Below are 22,479 nucleotides of genomic sequence, written 5' to 3'. Positions count from 1 at the left end.
GTGGCATATGCCTGTAATCCCGGCTACTAGGGAGGCTGAGGCAGGGAATTGCTTGAACCTGGGAGGCGGAGGTTGCAGTGAGCCAAGATAGCCCCATTGCACTCCAGCCTGGGCAACAAGAGCAAAACTCCATCTCAAAAAAAAAAAAAAAAATGCTGGAGCCTGGTCCCTCCAGCCCGTGTAGAGTTGACTCAGTGTGAGCCCATCCCCCTCGTGTATCACCCCCTTCAATGGTGAGGAGGAAGACGGGGCATTGGTGAGGAAGGTATCCCCCACAGCCACATAACTTGTGTGCTATTATCCCCACTTTACAGATGAGAATACTGAGCCTTGGAGACGGCAGGTGATTTGCCCAAAGTCACACAGCTAGCAAGTGACAGAGCCAGGACTCATGGCCAGCTCTGTCCCCACTCGCCTGCAAACCCAAACCCATCTTCTCCCTTCATGGACTCAGGGCCTGGACTTCTGGGAGAACAAAATCAGACATTTTAGGAGCTGAGAAACTGATGGGAAAGTTCCCCATGGCTGAACACCGAAAGGTTGACAAGATGACCAACGAGGTCTCCACCGAGCTGGGATGTGGGGGCAGAGGAGACCAAGACCCAGGCAGCTGGGTTTCTGGGTGGCAGTTCCAGCTGCCCCTCCCCAGTCAGCGAGGATCCCAGATCCGCCGACGCTGCCAGCCTCATCAATAGAATCAGGTTCAGGAAATCATGGTCCCACTGTAATCTGGGTGGCCCTGCCCCACCCCACCACTGGAAAGTGGCAGCCCCGTATACCCTTTTTCCAAATCCCCCGTATTTAAAAGAGCAGAAATGCACCAATCCCCCCAAGGGCCCAGCTCTCTGCACAGGCAGGTCAGAGCTCTCGCATCAAACAAAATCCGATGTTGACAGAATGGAAGCTGCTTTGTCAAATCAGGGAGGGGACTCAGAGGCCTCCATGAGTGGAAATTGAAACCCACTGTTCTATGCCAACCCCTTCAGGGTCCATATGGGGAAACTGAGGCCCAGGGTTGAGTAGAAAGTTGCTCAAGATGACATAGTGAGTGACCACAGAACTAGGACCAAAACTTGGAGTCCTGGCTCCATTAGGCAGCCTCTGCAGAGAAAGGGGTGACATGAGTTGTTTGTCTTCCCAGTGAGGGCAGCGGTTCTTAGCCCCAGCTGCACATTCATCCCCAGCGGATCCTGAAAACCTAGGGTGCTGGGGCCTTTCACAGATGAGTTGAATCAGGTTTCCCAAGGTGGGGCCTGGGCATCAATTTTTTTATGGATCCCCAGGTGATTGAAACACACTTCCAGGGTTGAGAACCTCTGAGCTGGAGAAAAGAGGAGCTTCATGGCTCATTGCCAGGTGTGGTCTCTTAGGAGACACCTGCCCGGGATACCTTAGTGATGGGCTCCCTGCCTTCTGTCTTTTCCATGTGCTGTTACTTGAGGTCATTCTGAGGTGCGAGAGCTGTGCACCCGCTCAGGTCAAGGTTGCCCCCTCTTCGAGGTGTCTTAGAGAACAGACTCAGCTGCCCTCTAGGCTGCTGTGTGCGCTGGGCCCCTCTGCAGCCATGCAGATGGGACCTGACCCTTCCAGGACCTTCTGACTGCAGGGCTTACACAGCCGTGCATCTGAGAACACCTGGAGCTCTGGGGCCCTTAGAGCCAAGTCTGCCAGCACAGAGGCGCCACAAGCCCCACCAGGACCTCCAATCCAGGCGAGTCTCAGCACCTCTGTGACTCAGTTTCTTCTTCACCAATAGTCAGAGATCCTTCGTTTGAATTGGAAGACCTAGTTTCTAGTTTTAGCTCTGTCCCTAACTCACTATGTAACCCTGAGCAAGTCATTTCACACTCCAGGCCTCAGTTTCCCCAACTAAAAAATGAAGTGGCGTGTAAGACCCCAGAGATGTCTCACTGAACCAGCCTGGGGACTGCTCTCCAAGCCCACCTGTGATGAATCCCAAAGGTGACCAGCTTCGCGGGCCCCTCAGCCACATGAGCAGCCACAACCCAACAGACTCCAGGAAGCATCTCCACATGTTATGGGAAAGCCCAGTGGGAATGGGTCCAGTCTGTTCTTACCACTGGGCCAATGACAGAGGCCCTGAGGATGGCCCTCCCCACCAGAGGTCATCCTGGGATTTTGATTTTGCCCATTAAGAATGAAACTGGGCCAGACACGGTGGCTCTCACCTGTAATCCCAACACTTTGGGAGGCTCAGGCAGGCAGATCACTTGAGCCCAGGAGTTCAAGACCAGCCCGGGCAACATGGCAAAACCCCATCTCTACAAAACATGCAAAACTTAGTCGGGGATGGTGGTGCACGCCTGTAGTCCCAGCTACTCGGGAGGCTGAGGCGGGAGGATAGCTTGATCCTGGGGAGGTCCAGGCTGCAGTAAGCCAAGATTGCACCACTGTATTCCAGCCTGGGCAACAGAGTGAGACCCTGTCTTCAACAAAAAAAAAAAAAAAAGAAGAAGAAAAGAAAGCAGCTTTCTTCCTGCACCAAGACTTTGTGCTAAGGTTTGTGCTGATGCCTGAGCCTTGAGAAAGAGCTGTGTGGAACCAAGCAAACCACCTGGGCTGTGGAACTTGATGGGATCTGGGTTCAAGCCCTATAGCCCTGTGGGATAGCACTTGTCAGACCACCATCCCGCTGAGCCTGCCTCCAGTTGCAGGGAGGAGTTAATCAGCCACCAGACGCCCAGTGCATGGCTCAGTGCACCAGGGTACCCTTCCTTCCCTTTCCCCATCCTAAGACTCACTGCTCAAGAAAGAAAAGCCCCCATACCATGCCTGGGTCATCTCCAATTCATGGAAAGGCAAGAAGATAAAGTTGAATCCACTGCCACAGATAGAGAGGCCCAACAGACTTGCTTGTCCTCATCCTTCAAGGGTCTGATTGGTGCCCCTCCTCCAGGAAGACTGCCCTGACTCAGCCATGAGTCAGATGTAAATTTCTCTTTTCTCAACTCCTTCTCCCAATACGGTCCAGAGACTGTTCCCCAGACATCCTGCATATGGCAGGTTTGGGGATGCTTGAGGCTGTCCACAGGCCCAGGACAAAGCCTTAAACTGATGATGATGATAATGGTGACAGTTAACATAACTGAATGTTCACCACAAATCAGTATTAGTTACATGCTTTGCACACACAATCTCATTCAATGCCCCTAACTGCCCTTTGAAGTAAGGCCAAACTGGGTTACATCCTGGCTCTGCCACTCACTGGCCATGTGACCTTGGACAAGTTGTTTAACCTCTCTGTGCCTTTGTTTTCTTATCTATAAAATGACGATGATGACAGTGCCCACTTGAGAATTTTGTGAGAATTAGTTAACATATGGAAAGCGCTTACAGGCACTGCTGGGGAGTGGCATTCAGTGCCATTGCTGATATTATTATCATCCCCAGGCAACAGGTGAGGAAACAGAGACTCAGAGAAGTTAAAGGAGTTTCCCACGGTCAGAGAGCTGGGAAGTTGCAGAGCCAGGACTGAGCCACAACACCTACTGCCCTTTCTCTTGTTGGCCCGCAGGCTGAGGACCCAGGATTGTTACATCATGGCACCTCCAAGCCGGGAGGGACCTCAGAACTAACTCAGTCCTGCTCCCCTTCCCAGAAAGGAGTCCTTTCTGTGGCACCCTTGTAAGAAGGTTGTCCAGCCTCTGCTGGCTTCTCAGAGAGGAGGAGCTGCTTGTTCTCCCCTGTATGTGTCCCCAGAGCCTGTGCTCATCCTTCAAGGCTCTGAATGGTACACACACTAGACCCAAAAGAAATACTTGAAGAATATGTGAATGAACGAACTAGGAGCTCTCCACTCCCACCCCTGGGGGGTTTGGCCACCAGGGCCCAAGAATCCCTCATTTGAAGGTATCAGAGCTTCCATCCCCCACCCTGTGGCTGTCCCACCGATGGCCTTCTCTGCAAACCTCCAGTGTGGCTCAGGTGACTCCAGGAAGCTATGGCCTTTATCTCTTATTGCCCCAATCCATCCTCTATCCTCTAAGGAAGCTCTGCGGGGGAGGAGCCAGGCCCAGGCTTCCTGGGACAGGTCAAACCGGAGACACATCTGCCCAACGGGCACGAGGCAGCAGGGGCAGGTGAGTCACCCCATGGCACGCAGCCCAGTCACCCCATGGCAGGCAGGCAGTGGTGCCAAGTGGCAGATACCCCTCCTTCCTCATTACCTCCTTGGCACAGCCTCCGTGGCTGCCCCTTCCTTCAAGAACCACTGAATCCCCTTCCTCCTCCTACTGCCCACCCACCAATACCAGGATTTATTTCCTGGGCTGGCTCTGCTCCCGACTTGGTTCCCTCCCATGACCAGCTCCTCACCCCCTCTCATCCAATGCCCTGGATCAACCCCATCGCTGCTCCCGACTAAGTTCGCCCTGATTTTTCGAGTCTTAGTCTTGGAGACTCGTTCTCAATGGGTGGGCTATTTTCTTCCCACCCCAGGGCACATTTGGCAATGTCTGGGGACATTTTTGGTTGTCACAACTCGGGAGTGTGCTGCTGGTATCTAGCAAAGAGAGGCCCAGAATGCTGCTCTCCATCCTACAGTGCACAGGGTGGCCCCCATGACAAAGAGGTATCGTGACAGCAGTGCTGAGGTTGAGAAACCTGGCCTGAGGAGAGGGCTGGGAGACTTGAGAGGTGAGAGCTGTCCCACAGTTCTGCACCCTCCCCTCCCAGTATCCTGATTACCTCCAAGCCAGGACCCTGGATTCTCCCCAAAAGCCTAAGAAGCCAGCTCCCTGGTGGTCCCCAGAGCCCAGCTCTTAAAACCCTACCCTAACCCTCTTTTCTTCCTAAGAGAGAGAAGATAAGGCCTTACCTCCCTCTACCATGGGCCTCAAAGGCATGACCTGGCACACAGTAGGAGCATAATGCATGGGCATTGAGTGTCTAGAGGAAACCAGGTTGGAAATCTTTATTTTCCAAGTATCAGAGCAGCTAAAACCATAAGACTCCTGAGTAAGACCACAAGCGGGTTTAAACCCTGGCTTTGCCACTTAGTAACTGTGTGACTTGAGCAAATGGCTTGCCCTCTCTGCCTCGGTTTTCTCATTTGTCTGATGAGATGATGCTAATAATAAGCCTAGCTCACAGGGTTGTTGTAAGGGTTAAATTCAAGATTAAAGTTCAAAACTTAACTCAAGAGACTTGTGAAGCTCTTAGAATAGTGCCTGGCACATGGTAAGTGCTATGTATTAACTTATTTTTTAAAAATGATTCATGCTCTGTTTCTAGGCTCATAGGCTCAGGATGGGGCTGGGGATATCTGCCTGTTCCTATTCTTGTGTGCCCCAGACAGATCCTCAGCCCAACCTGCAGCATCCCTTGGACATAGAAAAGTGCCATCTCTTCGCGGCACCAGCCCCCTCCAAGCCCCCGGTCTGGAGCTCAGTCACTGAAGCCTCTTCTACCTGGCTCAGCCTCCCAAACTTCAAATTCCCTGGCTAAGGTCTTCAGGAAACTCAGTAGAGCAAGAGGAGGACCCAAGCTTCCCTGATTGGCTGCTGTTCCGAGGCCAAGGCTGGGGAGTGGGCCCTGAAGAAGCCCTGCCCAGCCTGCAGGGAGGAAGGTCCAAGGGCATCAGCACCAAGGGCCTGCAAACCACTAGGCCTCTGACTCTTACCCATAAATGTCCACGAGGGTCTCCACGCCAGCCACACACACCGCGCTGGTGGGATGCTCCAGGGACACACGCACGATTCTCTGCAGCGACATGCTGGTGTTGGACTTAGCTGTGGCCGCCAACCCCAACACTGCCCCTGAGGCCCCTTAGGATGAGGTTTAAAAGCCCCTGGCCCCACCCCTCCAGCCCAGGGTGCCAATTCATTGGCTCCAGTCATGAAAGCCCAGCCCCTTCCCAGAGCTGAGAGCTCAGGATTGGCTGGAAGGGACCCAGTATTTGTATACGAACCTGTTGTCCCGACCCCGGCACCCAGGAAGTTAATTTCTTGGGAAGCAAGTCCCCACAGGTACCTGGCTAGGCACCAGGAACTGTTGGGGGCAGGTGCTGTTGAGGGGGTGCAGAGATATATGATATTGATCTCGGACGCTTCTTGCTTCCTCACCTCCATTTTCTGCATTTTCAGAGACTATAATGGGGAGCTTTCTTACTCTGCTGGGGAAGCTGGTGAAAATGCGGATTCCCAGGTCTGTTGTCCACTCTGATCCAGCAGGTTAGGGGTGCAGCCTGGCCTCTGGATTTTTTTTTTTTTTTTTGAGACGGAGTTTCACTCTTGTTGCCCAGGCTGGAATGCAATGGTGCGATCTCGGCTCACCGCAACCTTCGCCTCCCAGGTTCAAGCAATTCTCCTGCCTCAGCCTCCCGAGTAGCTGGGATTATAGGCGTGTGCCACCACTTCCGGCTAATTTTGTATTTTTAGTAGAGACGGGGTTTTTCCATGTTGGTCAGGCTGGTCTTGAACTCCAGACCTCAGGTGATCCACCTACCTCGGCCTCCCAAAGTGCTGGGATTACAGGCATGAGCCACAGCACCCGGCCCTCTGGATTTTTTAATAAGCACCCCCAAAGCATTTTGGTGCCCTTTGAGAAACACCAACTTTTTTTTTTTAATGGATTTTAGAGCCAGACCTGGGTTTCAGCCCTGCCTCAGCTGCTTCCTGGATGGGCGACCTTGGGCAAGTTTCTTTTTTTTTTTTTTTTTGAGACAGAGTTTCGCTCTGTCACCCAGGCTAGAGTGCAGTGGCGTGATCTCGGCTCACTGCAAGCTCCACTTCCCGGGTTCACGCCATTCTCCTGCCTCAGCCTCCCGAGTAGCTGGGACTACAGGCGCCTGCCACGGCTCCCGGCTAATTTTTTGTATTTTTAATAGAGGCGGGGTTTCACCGTGTTAGTCAGGATGGTCTCGATCTCCTGACCTCTTGATCCACCCGACTTGGCCTCCCAAAGTACTGGGATTACAGGCGTGAGCCACCATGCCCGGCCGGGCAACTTTCTTAATTGTTCGTGCCTCACTTTTCTCGTCTGAAAAATGGTTGCTGTGAGGCCTCAGGGGCCAGCGTTGGTAGAGCTCTGGTATGGAGCTTGGCGTTATTGTATTACTATTGTTGCTGTTATTAGGTCCCAAAAACCTCTGAAAGCGGTAAATGATGAGGGTGAGAACTCTCTCCAGCCAGGGGGAGCTTGGCATGTCAGAGTAGGAAAGCTCAGTCGTCAGGTGGGAAACCGAAGTCAGAGGGGCATTCAGGCTCCTGGAAGAGCAGGAGCAAGGGCTCTGGGGAGAGAAGTCTTGGGTTCAGAGGCAGGCTCCACCGTGCACCCACTATAGGGCCTTGGGTGTCAGTGTCCCCCCTCTTGGAGACTCGGTTTCCTCATCTGTAGAAAATGCAGCTAATCACTGGCCCTGGCGGAGATAATAGTGAAGACGCACCCTGCCTGGCGGAGGCTCAGGAGGTGCTGAATAGAGGTTTCCTCCCTTCTCCCTGGCAGTGCTGACAGCCTGAGACAGGATGGGGACCAGGACCCGCTCCCCAGCATCTCCAGCTGGGACATCTGCACCAGTTCAAGGGCCTCAACAGGACCCTGAGATTGTCATTCCCATGTCTCAGTTTTTGGGAAAGATGTTCTTTTCAAGGAGAACTGCTGGGCTTCTGGGTCAAGGGACAGCTTCACTTTTTTCAGCTGTGGAATGGCTTGATGGCTGAGTCAGCCTTGGGAGCCCTGGGTAAGAGTTCGAGCTCAGGAGGAAGCCTTAGTCTCCCTAGCCTTCTTGTGAGCACAGATGGGGAATAGATGCAGAAAGTAGGGGCTTTCCCTGGGGTGCTGGCCCACTACCTGCCTCTTTCTCGGAGAACTGTATATGTCTTTGGAAGGAGACTCATGCCTTCACTTCTCCTCTGTTAATACCAACTTTTAGAAACAGGTTTGTGGTTAATTCAGACTAAAGTGTCAATGACTAATAGGCAGCAACTTTTTGCCCTCTTACTCCACAACAAAAGCTAAAATAAAGTGAGTGAGTATCAAACGGTGTAATTTGAGGCAGCAGCAAATGTGTAGGATGAGAGGGTGATGATTTCAGGCATCCAAAATCAGACCACTGAAGCCAGGTAACTTAGAAGCTTCAGACACAAAAATGGAAGGGAATTGGGCCAGGCACAGTAGCTCACACCTGTAATCCCAGCACTTTGGGAGGCCAAGATGGGAGGATCGCTTGAGCCCAGGAGTTTGAGACCAGCCTGGGTAACATAGCAAAACCCCAGCTCCGTAAAAAATAAATTAGCAATTAGCTGGGCATGGTGGCCTGTGCCTGTATTCCTAGCTACTCAGGAGGCTGAGGTGGGAGGATCGCTTGAGCACAAGAATTCAAGGCTATAATGAGCTGTGATAGCACCACTGCACTCCAGCTTGGGTGACAGAGCAAGACTCGGTCTCAAACAAAAGAAAAGAAAACAAAACAAAACGAAAACCAGAAAGGGAACTGTAGTGGCCTGTGGCCCTGGGAACCAGCCCTGCTGGGGAACTCTCACCTCTGTTAATAGGGCCCGGGCTGCCTCCCCGACCTGTTGTCCCTGAGAGATGGAGGGGATGCTGAAGGAAGAGAGAAGAGATGAAGAGGCAGGACCCATCCCTCCCCTGATCTGATCTCCATCTTAGCAGGGCCATCAGCCCCAGAGCAAGAGGCAATGTGCCAGCCATCCTGCTGAATCAGCCTGCCTGGCACTGGCCGTGGCACTGGCCGTGGCACTGTGAGGCTCTCCTAGCTGAGCAGGGGCCGCCTGTGGCAGCAGAAATTGAGCCAAGCAGCTTCATAGTGGATGGAACTGGAAGCAGTCTTCTCCGCTTTCCTCCCCTCCTCCCCAACCCAACAAACAGGCTGGGTAGACAGCCCTGTAAGAAATGCATGTCGACATTTTTATTGATCAGAAAGTAGGTGACTGGTCACCCAGAACATTCTCAGAGCCAACACCAGGGCCCCTCGATGGCCCAGCAGCAACTCCAGAGCTTCCCACACTCAGTGTGGCCCCGACCCCCAGCCCTATCTCTGCAATGCTCACTCCCTTCCTACCCACAGCTCTTTCTCAGGGGAGTCCCAACCCCAGCTCACACCCCCGGCCCCTTCAGAGCCTCCTTCTCCTTCTTGACTCAGTGCAGGCTGGGGTATGATCCTGAGCAGAGGACGCTCAGGTTAAAGCAGGAGCTTGCAAATAGAGTTCTGTAGAACCTTCCAGAAGGGGATTTTCAGGTTCCCGCTCACCCACTTTAACCATAGCAGTTCCAGGCTAGCTTTTGTTGGTTAAAACAGTGACAGTAGTTGGCTCAGTGTGAGGTCTCAGCAGGGGCCACTGAAAACCTAGATGGACCGAAGCCCTAGGGCCAACTGCCCTACAATGGCCTCACTGGCAGTGGGGGAAGAGGGTAGGCTGGCTTCCTCCTGCCCGTGCCCTGCAGCCCAGCTGAACCAGCCTGCCTGTGCATGTCTCAGTGACCTCACTCCGGGCTATTAACCTCCCGTGGCAGCTGTCTTCCCTACTGTGGGAGGGGACATGGGCCTGCACAGCGGTTTATTCAGGGATGAAACCTAAGCTATGTGCAGGGTCCCTGGGTTGCTGAGAGAGACCGGGCAAGCCTTCCCCTCCCACTGCCTGCAGAATGAAGGGGAATAATTAAAGACTATTAAAGGAAATTAAACTCCACCTTCAGAGATAACCTAATTTCCTCCCAACACACACACCCTCTTCTAACATCTGGCCCCCTACCCCTGCTACATCTGGAAGCTCCAGCTCCCTTCAAATCCAGAGTCCAAAATCCCAGCCCAGGAACCACGGACACCTCTAGGCCCCCAAATCCGTCGTCACACACTCTGCTACCCTGACCTCATCCCCTCCTGCCCCGTCATCCTTTGTGTGTCCTCAGGCCTCACGTTGGCTTCTCAGCATTTCTGAGCTGGGAGAAGCCAGCTCTGGTAATTAAAGTCTTTCCAGAAAGGTAGCAATCACTCTTCTGAGGTCGGAGTCAGCTATTAAAATTTTGTTGTCTTTTTTTCTATTTAAATTGGCCCTTGGACACTGGGTTTTTCTGTCCTTGTTTGTCCACACACAGCTGAAGGGTGCTGGATGGGGGTGGAGGTAAGTGTCACAGCCTTGGGTCCCCTTTGGGAGAAGAAACCTAGAGCGGGGAGAGGATGTTTCTGATCCCCTTTCCTAGTTTTCCAAGAGCAGAGGCAGCCTGGTGCCTGGCACACCAGACCCCAGGTCCCCCAGGCCCCGTTCCAGGTGCAGATGCAAAGTCATTATCCTTGTTCCCCAGGGAGGCATCAGAATGAAGGGGGAGCAATTCTAAGTGGGGCCCATCTCCCTAGGCCTCCCACAGCCATTCTGGAACATGCTAACATTGTTGATCTAGAGCCTCTGGGGGCTGTGGGTGGGAAAGAGGCCAGGGAAGAATGAGGTGCATTCTTCTCGGGTTGGGTAGGCCATTCCAGAGGCGAGGGTAGGTGGTATCCATCCCTGTGTCCTGGTGCCCATGGTGGCCAGGATGTTTGCAAAGTGCCAAGACTCCCCCAAGAGAATGGAGGCCAGGTGGTTGTTCCTTGCCTTCACCCTGGCAGGGTTCCCTAGCAAGAGGGCAGAGAGGATGGCGGGTGGGGGCAGGCTCAGGGCACCATGTTCCACCATTTGAAGGGAAAGGGCTTCCTGCGCACGTTGGTGCCACAGTGGATCTCCCCCTGCAGCTCGTGGTAGGACAAGTAGTCATCAATGAAGATGCAGTGCAGGCCCAGAGGCTCCAGCAGGGACTGCACCTTCTCCTCCAGGCAGCAGCGGCCATTGATGATGGGCCCGTAGGGCTTGGGGATGCCCAGGTACTTGCCTAAGACCACCATGTTAACCTGCAAAAGAGAAAAGGCAAGAGGGAGGCTGTCTGGCTATAAGTGCTGTGCTTCTGGCACCCCTTCCTTGCCAGAATGAGACAGGCCCTGGGGAATGGGTTGGCCATAGCCACAGCCTAGAAAGGGCTCTAGGACTGGAGTTTGCTCAAGAGTTAGGGCCTATGAAAGCAGAGGAGAAAAAGATTCAGGGTTGGAAATGAGGTTGAATAACAGCCAGGACTACCAGGAATTTTGTACATTAAAAAACAAAAACAAAAAACAAAAAAAAACTTCTCCCACTCTTTCTTTCATCTATGAGAAAATTGTCATATTATAGCAACTTTGTTAGAACAAGAGATTTTCGTGTCATCTGCCAGAAACTTGTACAACAAATATACACACCTACAAGGTCTGTGGTGTGGATGTCTTCCAAAGTGTGGTGTGCTTTTGCTGTGCACAGCTTGCTTAACTGTCTTTGGCAGCCCTGATCATTGTTAGCATTTATTGAGCATCTTTTATGTGCCAGATATATCATCACTAAATGCCACAGCCTCCCTCTGAAGCTGTGGCTCAGACAGGTTAAGTCACATAATCATACAGCCAGAGAATGATGAGACTGACATTTGGACTTGGATCTGGCTGGTGCCAAAATCCATGCTTTTTATCTGGCCACCTGTGGGACTGAGGAGTTGGGGGAAAGGGCTGAAAAAGCCTTTGGGGACACTTGAGTTTAACTCTGGGGGCACCTCTCCTTCCCTTGGTTGCGGACCTGGCTTGGGGCCCTAATCTGGGGATGGGAATTCTCCCCCATGCTGTGCTATGGGGGTTTCTTAGAGGAAATCTCAGCCCAGGTTGATGGCAAGAGGTCATAAGGGGTGACCCTTGGTGTTCAAAGGGGACTCCGGACCTTCTCTCTAGAGGGCGGCTCTGGGCTGTCTTGAGTTTGAGGTGAGCCTGTCCTGGACTCTGCCCTCAAACTCTCCGTGCTCTGCCCCCCACCCTCAAGTCTGCCCCACCCTCATCCATGGCAGGGACCAACATAAAGCTGGAGGGTCCCGTGAGGTCAGTCCCCTGGCCTTGGCCCTGAACTACCTCTTTGCCCACTAATGGGCCAGAACATGCTGGGGTGGGAGTGGGGGTGGGGCATGCAGGGGGCAAAGGGCAGAAAGAGGAGAAAAGAGCCAGGACCAGGACCAGGACCAGGGCCAGAGCCAGCCAGGCCTCTGCTTCCTCCTAAAGGAGGAGTCATGGGATTGGGGGCTGGTCCCAACTCCGCCACTCGCTCACTGTGTGACCTCAGACACATGACCCACTCTCCTTCTAAGCCTCAGTTTCCCCATATGACAAACCAAGGGGTTAACTGGGTGTTCCCTATGGGACCCTCCAGTGAAGACAAGCTGGGATCCTTCAGCAGAGCCTGGAACGAAGCTAGGGAATCCCCACAGGATGACCCACAGTCAGGGGCTTCCGGCAGATGGAGGCCAGACCACAGACACACACGCTCCAGCCTAGGCCCTCCCCGCCACCTTCAGCCAGAACCAGAGCTCAGCAGTCCCTTAGAGCTTTGCTGTCCACCACAGTAGCCACTGGCCACATGCAGTTGTTTAAATTAAAATTAAACTTACATAAAGTTACAATTTCTGTTCTTCATTGACACTAGCCACATTTCAGGTGGTAGCTGAGTGGCTACTGGACTGTATTGTACCGATATGGAACATTTTCATCAGCACAGAATGTTCTAACAGACAACACTGCCTTCAAGCCGTGGTTCTCAATCAGGGTCCATTTTGTCCACTAGGGCATTTTTGGTTGTCACATCTGGGAGAGTGCTATTGGCATCTAGTGGGTAGAGACCAGGGAGGCCGCTAAGCATCCTGCGAGGCACTGTACAGCATCTACAACAAAGGCTTATCCAGCCTAAAACAGAAGTAGAGCTACAGAGTCGAGAAATCCTGCTTGGGGGTCTCTGCCAGGACCTAGAGGCTGGAATCTCCCCATGAGGAGTCAGGAAAGCACACTGACCCTCCCCACCTCCTGCAACCTGCATCCTGATTCCGACATTCACTTCCAACCCTGATTCCATGCCGATTCCGACATTCACTTCCAACCCTGATTCCATGCCGATTCCGACATTCACTTGCAACCCTGATTCCATCCCGATTCCGACATTCACTTCCAACCCTGATTCCATCCCGATTCCGACATTCACTTCCAACCCTGATTCCATCCCGATTCCGACATTCACTTCCAACCCTGATTCCATCCCGATTCCGACATTCACTTCCAACCCTGATTCCATCCCGATTCCGACTTTCACTTCCAACCCTGATTCCATCCCGATTCCGACATTCACTTCCAACCCTGATTCCATCCCGATTCCGACATTCACTTCCAACCCTGATTCCATCCCGATTCCGACATTCACTTCCAACCCTGATTCCATCCCGATTCCGACATTCACTTCCAACCCTGATTCCATCCCGATTCTGACATTCACTTCCAACCCTGATTCCATCCCGATTCCGACTTTCACTTCCAACCCTGATTCCATCCCGATTCCGACATTCACTTCCAACCCTCGGCTTGTCCCAAGAGAGGGATTCAAGCTAAAGACCGCAGTCTGAAGAAAGAGGGTCTATCCCCATCCCGGGGGACCATCCCTGCCAGCTGCCAACACCCCAACATCCTTTCCCAAGAGGTTAATGGGCACTTGGGCCAGGCCCACCCCGATAGCATCGCTCAGGCCCTTCCCAGTTGAGATCACATCTGCTCATCTCCTTGTCAGCTGCCCTGTTAATGAGAGTCAGCGAGGCCACCGCCCACCCCACCTGCACCGCCTGACACAGGACCCCCACTGGGGAGCAGCAAGCGAGGGGCTGTGGTGGGGAACACAGCAGGCAGCTGAGACCCAGAGACAGAAGCCTGAAACACTTGGAACCAAACCACGCTTTCTTTTTCCATCTGGGTGAGAAAAAAAAAAGTGCTTTGTGGCGGGGCATCCTATGCTCTGTAGGATGTTTAGTGAAATCCCTGGCTTCTACCCACCAGATGCCAGGGGCATGCACCTCACTGCGGCAACAAAAATCCCCTGGGGGCAAAATTGCCCTGGTTGAGAGCCACTGATGGGAATGTTCTCTATATTCACAAAAACAGACACTGGAGAGGTCCGCAGGGCCCTCCAGCCTCTGCACCAGCCTGCCCTGGGCCAGGGAGTGCTTCTTCTCAGAGCCCCGCAGACCCCCCAGCAGGACCCTGCACAAGGGCTCTCACCATGTCTGGGAAGAAGGCTTCCGCGTAGAAGTTTTTCAGGAAGAAGAGCTGGGGAATGTCCACGATGTCACTCTCTGCCAGGCCCAGCTCCCGCTTCAGCACATTACGGTTCCAGTCAATGCATTTCTGGGGAAGGAGGCAGCTGGGCAGCCCAGGACTAGGAAGAGCATAACACTGGCCAAGCACCTACTGTGCGCTGGGCCCGTGTGGAGCCCTCTGGGCCCGCTAGCTCCTTCAAGCCTCACAACAGCTTTGTGCAATAGAAACCATTGCTGTCCGGGGGAAACTGAGGCTCAGGCAACCTGCTCAAGTGCACAAGGCTAGGATGTGCCAAAGCTGGGGTTCGAACCCAGGCAGTTTCTGGATGCAAATGTTCTTGTCAGCACAACACACTGTCCCAGCCCCAGCCACAGCATGGCTGATGCTCCTGTCCCTTCTCAGCAGCTTAGGAGAAAGCGCTGGGCACTACCGGGAAGGGGTAAGGGCCCTCCTGCCATTAACTGAGCACCGACTCTGTGCTAGCCCCTTCGCCTTGCATGGGGCAGGCATTTTTTATCCTTGGGGTGAGCCCTGCCCCTTCCTGACACCTTGCTTCACCTGTTCCCACAGGATCCCCCTGAATCTTACCCACCCCACCTCTGGGCCCCTCAAGGTCCTATTTCCCCACCGTGTCTCTCGCATTTCACCAGACTTCTCAGATGAGAGGCTCAGATTTGCTTCTGTGAAAATAGGTCATTGCCCCAGCGTGGGGCCGGGTCTCCCTCATTAGGCTGGGAGCTCTCTGAGGGCATGGCTCTGTCTCTTCCATCAGACTGTGGGTTCCTGAAGGCAGAGGCTCTATCCCACCTGCAGGCCCCAGCAGCCCCCAGGACCATGAGAGCTCCAGCGCTGAATCTCTGACCCAACCCAGTTCCTGGGGCTTCTTCTCCCTGGAAGGGAAAGGACCCCTTAGAGCAGCTGGTGGTCCTGCCTCTCACCTGTGCATGAAGATTGTCTCTCTGGAGGTGTCTGTCTGCCAGCATCTCATTAATGCTTCTTTTTGCCTGGTGTTTTAACCCTGCAAGAAGAGAAAGACAGTACATAGCTCAGGGAGCACTGCCTGGAGGCCGTCTTCAGCCTGGGGCTACATAATCCAGGCCAGGATTTCCCTCCTACCTCAGTGCCAGGGTCAGAAGCCAGGACAGAGAAAGCCAGAGACTGAGAACCCCTGAAGGGACCAAGCCATGGCTGCAAGGAAAACCTGGTGATGGATAAGGAACCCCTCAGGAAGTGACTCTGGACTTGGAGCCTAATAATTATGGCACAGCTACCATTATTGAATGTCTGCCATGCTCTGGGCATCCTACTTAATGTATTATTAATATTTAAAGCAACTATAGGAGGGATTAATTATCATCTACAACTCAGAGAAGAGGAAACTGAGGCACTGAGAGGTTCAGAACACACCCTTGATACCACAGCCAGCAAATGCCAAGATCAGGATTTGAACTCAGGGCTATCCTTGTGGATGTCTGCACCACATCCATTCCAATGCTCTATTCCCCAGGTATTCCCCAGATGAGAACACTGAGGCTGTGATAAGGAGGGGAGATGGGCCAACCAAGCCCTTGGAGGGTCTGTTAGCTCCTGCAGGAAGCTCTGCAGAGGGGCCCTGACCAAGCCTGGCTTCTCCTCCTTCCTCTCTCAAGGCCCCAGCCCTGCTGCTCCCTGGCTGCATAGCCCTGTCCAAGCCAATTCACCTTTCTGAGCCTCAGTTTCCACTTCTGTGAACAGGGATAAGGAAGAGGGGAGAGAGATCAAAGGGGAGTGAGAACAAGAACATGCCTGGCATTGACCGGCACCTGGGGCACTCATGACTTCCTGTGCCTTTCCTCTCCTGGGGTGTGGCCCAGGAACTCCCCCACCCATCAGAGGACCTGGGGACCCAAGAAACAGAGAGTGGGTGTTGGGTTCTGAGTCCAGCTGAGAGATCTGCAGGTGCAGGGGCTGTACCCAAGGATGGTGATGAAAGGGCAGGGTCCCCCAGGGGTGACCGGGTCATTGGCACTCACCATCAAACTGGGCTGCCTCCCCATAACCCTCTTCTTTCTTCTCTTGGAAGAGTTTGAGGCAAGCGCTGGGGCTAGCCAGGAGCAGCCGGAAGCCCTGGCACGGAGGGAGGGAGAATGGCTCAGTGGACAGGGTCCCCTTAGACACAGGAGACCCCAGACTCAGGACTCAGGAGGGGCCTGACAGTTCTTGGGACTCCCCTCTCCCACTCGGTCTACACCCCAGCCACAAAGCACTGTCTGCAACTCTCCCAGTCCTCCAAGCAGGTTCCCACCTCCAGAACTTTGTCTGTGCTGTTCTCCCTCCCTGGACGCCCTTCGCATTTTGCCCACCAGGGCATTCTGATTTCTTCCTTCAAGGCCCAATTCAGGGCTGGGTGTCGTGGCTCACGCCTGTAATCCCAGCACTTTGGGAGGCCAAGGTGGGCAGATCACCTGCAGTCAGGAGTTTGAGACCAGCCTGGCCAACATGGTGAAACCCTGTCTCTACTTAAAATACAAAAAATTAGCTGGGCATGGTGGTGTAATCCCAGCTACTTGGGAGGCTGAGGCAGGAGAATCGCTTGAACCCAGCAGGTGAAGGTTGTAGTGAGCCAAGATCGCGCTATTGCACTCCAGCCTGGGCAACAGAGCAAGATTCTGTCTCGAAAAACAAACAAACAAAAAACAAACAAAATACCCAATTCAGATGTCTCCTCCTTCACTGTCAGAGCTGTCCCTAGCAGAGCTGTAACCACTGGTCACTGGGAAGCCTCCTCTCCCAGGCTGCTGGCTCCCTGGCCATGCCTTCCCAAGCCACCTCTGCAAGGCTTACTGTAGAGGCCCAGAACCCGGATTTGAATCCTATCCTGACACCTGCAGGCTGGGTGAGCTTGGATGGGTTAATTGCCCTTCTGAGCCTCAATTTCCTCGCTTGTAAAATGGGACAATAATAATTGCACCCACTTGACGGGCTTGTTGGAGGATTAAATGAATTAAAACATGTGAGTATCTGGCACATAGTAGGTGCTCAATAAATATTACCAATTATTATCAATATCATTCCTGACTATTGGATAAGGGATTTGGGTCCAAGCACAAATACCCTGGAAGTGTGAGGATGAGCGTGTCAGGGTGCCCTGACCCAGAAAATGTCCCAATCCAGAGCTTACTCGGGGCACAGGGTTGAGCTGGTTCCAGATGGCTTTGCCCTGACTCATCCCATCAGGTCAGACAAGGGCAGAGGTGGCTCAGGCAGGGAAGGAGGGGACGCACCTTTTGGTCAGAGGTAGGCACAAAGGTCAGAAACTCGTCCACATGGCCCACAGAGAGCCAGTCCGAGTAGAGCTCCACGGGTGCCTGCACCTGCTGTGCCTTCAGGAAGTTCCGCACTGCCCTGGCCATCTGCCGCCCACCGGACCTGGCCAGGAGGGAGAGGGCGGGCAGTCACCTTGTGCCTGAGAGGCATCAGGCCTTGCCTGAGTCATCATCAGATCTGCCACCAGGGGGCGGAATTGCTCAAAGAACGCTTTAAACGTGGGGCGTAGAGCGTGGAGAAGCCAAGACAGCAGAGAATGGACTGTGCATTTGTGTGTGCATTTGAGCACCTACTGTGTGCTGTCCTTAGGGTCCTCGCAGTAAGTGTCTTGTTTAAGCCTCCTGATGACCCTATGATATACATAGAAATACCAGCTCCAAGTTACATCTGAAGCGTGCTCGGCCAAGCTCTCTGGCCTCACTCCCCACTGCGCCCCTCCTTGCTCACTTGGCTCCAGGCCCACCAGCCTCCCTGCTGATCTGCTGTCTCCAGCCTGCTCTTGCCTCAGGGCCTTTGCACAGCTGTTTCTACACCCTGGAATATTCTCCTAAGTAGCCACATCTTTAACTGCCTCTTCTTTCTTTCCTTCTTTTCTCTTTCTTCCTCTTCCTTCCTTCCTTTCTTTTTTTCTTTCTTTCTCTCTCTCTTTTTTAATTTTTTTTTGAGACAAGGTCTCACTCACTCTGTTGCCCAGCCTAGAGGCTGGAGTGCATGGCTCACTGCAGCCTCAACCTCCCGTGCTCAAGTGATCCTCCCACCTCAGCCTCCTGAGTAGCTTGGACAACAGGTATGTGCCACCACGCACGGCTAATTTTTGTAATTTTTGTAGAGGTGGGTTTCGCCATGCCACCCAGGCTAGTCTTAAACTCCTGGATTCAAGCGACCCCCCCACCTCGGCCTCCCACAGCACTGGGACTACAAGTGAGGGCCACTGTGCTTGGCCTAACTGCCTCTTTTCCTTCAAGGCTTTGTTTAAACAGCAGACTCTCAGCAAAGCTGAGACAAACATTTATTGACATGTGCCACACACATGCTTTACCCAGGCTACCTCATTTAATCCTTATGACAGCCCTGTGGGGTTGGGACTATTACTGTCCCCATTTTACAGGTGAGGGAGTTGAGTCCCAGAAAATTAAAGTTATATGCATTTGTTCATGCATTCATACTATATTCATACATATGATTGGAGGTACTTATTTGTTTTGTTCACTTATTGTCTGTTTCTCTCTGCTGGAATGTTTGGTTGTCTGGTTTGTCCATTGCTAAGGTCAGAAACCAAGGCAGGGTCACTGGACAGCAGCCTGAGGTGCTAAATTTGAGTTTGGAGCCCAGGTAGAAGGAGACCTGGGTTCTGACCGTACTGCTAACTTGCTATGTGGTCCTAATACGTAGCCAACCCTTTTCAAACCTCAGGTCCTATCTATCCACCAAAGGCCTCATTCCTGGTTTTCAGTCCAACAGCCAATGGAATGGGGACACGTCCACACAGGAGACCCCTCACTTTCCCATGTGGGGTCCTTGCTCTGTGCCTGGGAGTTCCCAGAGCAGACCCCTGCACCCTTGAGAGAAGGTTCCTGGCTTGGCTCACTGGCTCGTGAGGCTTGTGGGAGCAGACAGGTAAGGATGTCCATGTGTTGCAGTGTGATATAGAGACTGGGGCAGGAGCCTGGGACAGAGAAGGGAGCAAAGTCCTTGGAGAACACCAAGGAGCCCCTCCCCTTCCTGAGTCTGCATCCTCTGAGCTCTCTGCCCCTGAGCCTGCATCCTCCGAGCTCTCTGCCCCTGAGCCTACATCCTCCGGCTCTCCGCCCCTGAGCCTGCATCCTCTGAGCTCTCTGCTCCTGAGCCCAGGTCCCAAGGATCCTGGAGGAGAGAACTGCCCCATGAGGCATCTGAACAGAATGGTTTCTCCCTGAACTCTGTCCCCAGCTGGACCCGCAGAGCCCCCTCCTGCCTGAGGTCCTACCGGTCCATCCCTGCCCATCTACATGCCACCCATACCGAGTTTTTTCGACTTTTCCTTTGAGCTGTACCTTCTCTGGCTTCCAGGCTTCTGCCTGAGCGCTTCCCTCTGCCTGCAACATGGTCCACTCCACACTACTTTGCCTCCTTCCTTCCTTCCCTCCTTCCTTCCTTCCTTCCTTCCTTCCTTCCCTTCCTCCCTCCCACTCTCCCTCCCTCCCTCCCTTCCTTCCTTCCCTTCCTCCCTCCCTCCCTTCCTTCCTTCTTTCCTTCCTTCCTTCCTTCCCTTCCTCCCTCCCTCCCTCCCTTCCTTCTTTCCTTCATTTATTTGTTTGTTTAGACGGAGTATTGCTCTGTCACCTAGGCTGGAGTGCAGTGGCTTGATCTTAGCTCAGCGCAACCTCTGCCTCCTGGATTCAAGCAATTCTCCTACCTCAGCCTCCCAAGTAGCTGGGACCATGGGCGTGCACCATCAGGCCCAGCTAATTTTAGTATTTTTAGCAGAGACGAGGTTTCACCATGTTGGCCAGGCTGGTCCCAAACTCCTGGCCTCAGGTGATCCACCCACCTTGGCCTCGCAAAGAAGCGTCAATATCGTTGGCTGCCCCTAGGAAGCCTTCTAGGACAACGCACGTGGGATGATATGTGATCCCCTCTCTGATCCATTGCTTGCCTGTCTCCCTCATTAGACTCTAAATCTCAAGGGCAAGCTCCTCAGCCATTTCTGTATCCCCAGCATTAGACTTTGGGCTTGGCCTATAGGAAGTCTCCATAAATATTTACTGAACTGGTAAATGAATGTATGAAAGAATGCACGTAACTTAACTTTTCCAAGCCTCAGCTTCCTTATCTGTAAAGTGGGGATAATGATGGTCTCAGTCTCACAGGGTTGTTGTAGAAATTAAATGAGGTAGCCTGGGGAAAGCACTATGGGTGTGACATGTAGTAGGTAGTAGCTGGTCAATACATTTTTCCAGTTAGTTCCAACCTGCTTTGAAGCAGCCCCACTACTGGGGCCAAATGAAAAATACCTAAGCATTCAAGAGGTGGTTGACACGAATTCTTTATCCCCAGTAATGCTGATTCTGTAGCTAGGACTGGGATTTTCATCAGGCCCGTTTTAAAGATAAGGAAACTGAGGCATGGAGTACAAAATAATTTGCTCATTTAAAATGCATCTGTTTTGTTCACTGATGTATCCCCAGTACCTTTAACTGTGCCTGGCATACAATAAATATTTTTAAGTGAATTAATTGAGTACCTATTGTGTGCCAGGCACTGTGGTATACACTGGTTTGGGGGACTCATCCCAAATCATGTAGCTGGCAAGTGGCAGGGCCAGGACTCAAACCCAAGTCCATCTGATTCCAAAGCCTGTGCTCCTTCCTCACGGGTTCCTCCCTGAGTTAGAGAAAGACTGTCCTGAGGCCTCAAGGACCGTCTGCCCCCAAGGGTGTGGGTAGAACAGCCCACACAGTAGTGTCTGGGCATGAGTCACCAACAGGGTGAGCACATGCCTCTCGCCTGGCCAGTCTCAGCCCCAGGCATCCTGTCTGGGCACCCAGTTACGTGCCTGGGTAGGTGCCAGGAAGCCTCGCCTCATCCGATCCAGAGCTCTGAGGCTGCCAGATTCACCAGGTGAGGCTGTGACCTTCTCAGCACTGCCTGACTCCTCTGGGCTGGAGACCAGATGGTCAGCCAGGGCTTGGGGGGTAAGTGGGGGCACCCCTGCTATGCAAAAACCCCACAAACAGGAAGGTGATCTCCAGGGCTTACAGTGGGTGTCATCTCCAGGGAGGAAACAGGGGGACCCACCAGGACCCTGAACTGCACACGTCATTCTTTGGTTACCTGCAGGGAGGGTGTGCACCCACTCAGCAGGACCTAACAGACATCGCCACCTGTTTGAGCGTTAAAACCTAAATACCTTGTTTCCTGCTCCATCACATCTGTCCAGGGTGAGATCCACTGACTCACCTCTGTCATCAGGGTATCCTGGCCAATCACTTGCTTACCTGCAGCCACCTGCCCTGGGAACTTCATGACCTCAGGACCCTTTTAAGCCATGGTTAGGACAGAAGCTATTCTGACTTCCTAATGGGAGAAGTCAATGAGTCTATTCCTCTGTCTCTGTGCCAGACTGTATCTCACCTCCCCAGCTTCTCCAATTTTTCATGAGAAGCCAGAAACCTGCCTTTTTATGGGAGGCCCTCCCGATATCTGTTTATGTTGGTGACTCATTAAGCTCATAAAATGAGGTAGGCCAAAAGATCGCAGGCCACAAGCGTGTGACTTTTCTCCTAAGATTCTCTGATCTTTTAAATCTGAGATCCTAGGTTGCCGAGTCTTTGATTCCAGGATTCCACGCAGGAAGTTAAGATCACTTCTCAGACTGGGGAATTGTGTTTGTGATGGGGGCACAGGGAGGGTGGATGCTGCAGTCATTCCCTTGTGCCTCCCCACCTCCCGCCCCAGCCCCTCACTTGGGGAAGCTGCTCCCGATGAGGATCCGGCCCAGGGGGTATTCCGTGCCGCCCACCGTGACGGGCGGGCTGACGTCCAGGTTGCCGAAGGAGTCAAGGCTGGAGGGACCAGGGAGCGGGATCTCCCGGGTAACATATCCAAAGTCAGGACCCTATGGAAGAACCAGCGAGACCCCCACCCCAAGAAGGAGAGGTCAGTGAGGACAGGACGAGGCAGTTCTTGGAGTAGAGGGGAGTTGCTGGGGGTCTCCCACTCCATGGCTCTTAGTACCTGAAAAACGATCTCTGTCCACTTTTTACAAATCCCCCCTGGGCTCTGCGAACCATGCGATTAAAGACAAATCAATAACCAAAGATAACTAAAAACTCCCCCAAATGTTTGGAAATTAAGCAGTATACATCTAAAGAATCCATGGATCAAAGAAGAAATCAAAGTGGAAATTAGACAAGATTTTGAAGTGAAATTCATAAAAATCTGCTGTCTTTTGATAGCACATTAAAACTCATGAGATGTTGACGAGGCAGCACTGCTAGGGAGTTGTCAGAGCTCTAGACATGTGTATTTAAACTGAGCGTGGT

General features: G+C 52.9%; 2 protein-coding genes across 11 annotated transcripts in view; both read right to left on the bottom strand.

Moving 5' to 3' along the window:
* Window positions 1–5,773, bottom strand: part of PADI3 (peptidyl arginine deiminase 3) — a 35,136-nt gene extending 29,363 nt beyond the window's left edge. For both annotated transcript variants that reach the window (NM_016233.2, XM_011541572.3), the window contains exon 1: window positions 5,642–5,773. In NM_016233.2, the coding sequence (NP_057317.2) occupies window positions 5,642–5,733 (92 nt within the window). In that variant the 5' untranslated portion in view covers window positions 5,734–5,773. The remainder of the gene's footprint in view (window positions 1–5,641) is intronic.
* Window positions 8,864–22,479, bottom strand: part of PADI1 (peptidyl arginine deiminase 1) — a 40,880-nt gene continuing 27,264 nt past the window's right edge. For 3 of the 9 annotated variants that reach the window (NM_013358.3, XM_017001102.2, XM_017001101.2), the window contains exons 11-16: window positions 21,901–22,052; window positions 17,413–17,557; window positions 16,162–16,255; window positions 15,088–15,167; window positions 14,111–14,236; window positions 8,864–10,861 (exon numbers count right to left, since the gene is read on the bottom strand). In NM_013358.3, coding sequence (NP_037490.2) covers window positions 10,628–10,861; window positions 14,111–14,236; window positions 15,088–15,167; window positions 16,162–16,255; window positions 17,413–17,557; window positions 21,901–22,052 — 831 coding nt within the window. In that variant the 3' untranslated portion in view covers window positions 8,864–10,627. Of the gene's footprint in view, window positions 10,862–14,110; window positions 15,040–15,087; window positions 15,168–15,211; window positions 16,027–16,161; window positions 16,256–17,412; window positions 17,558–21,900; window positions 22,053–22,479 lie in introns of those variants that run through there. The other 6 variants (XR_946619.3, XR_007059265.1, XM_047418756.1 and 3 more) reach the window with 6 other exon arrangements.

Source organism: Homo sapiens, chromosome 1 (genome assembly GCF_000001405.40).
Source record: "Homo sapiens chromosome 1, GRCh38.p14 Primary Assembly".
Taxonomy (NCBI): Eukaryota; Metazoa; Chordata; class Mammalia; order Primates; family Hominidae; genus Homo; species Homo sapiens.
The sequence above is the reverse complement of the archived record's forward strand: the minus strand, read 5'-3'. Positions and strand labels throughout refer to the sequence as shown.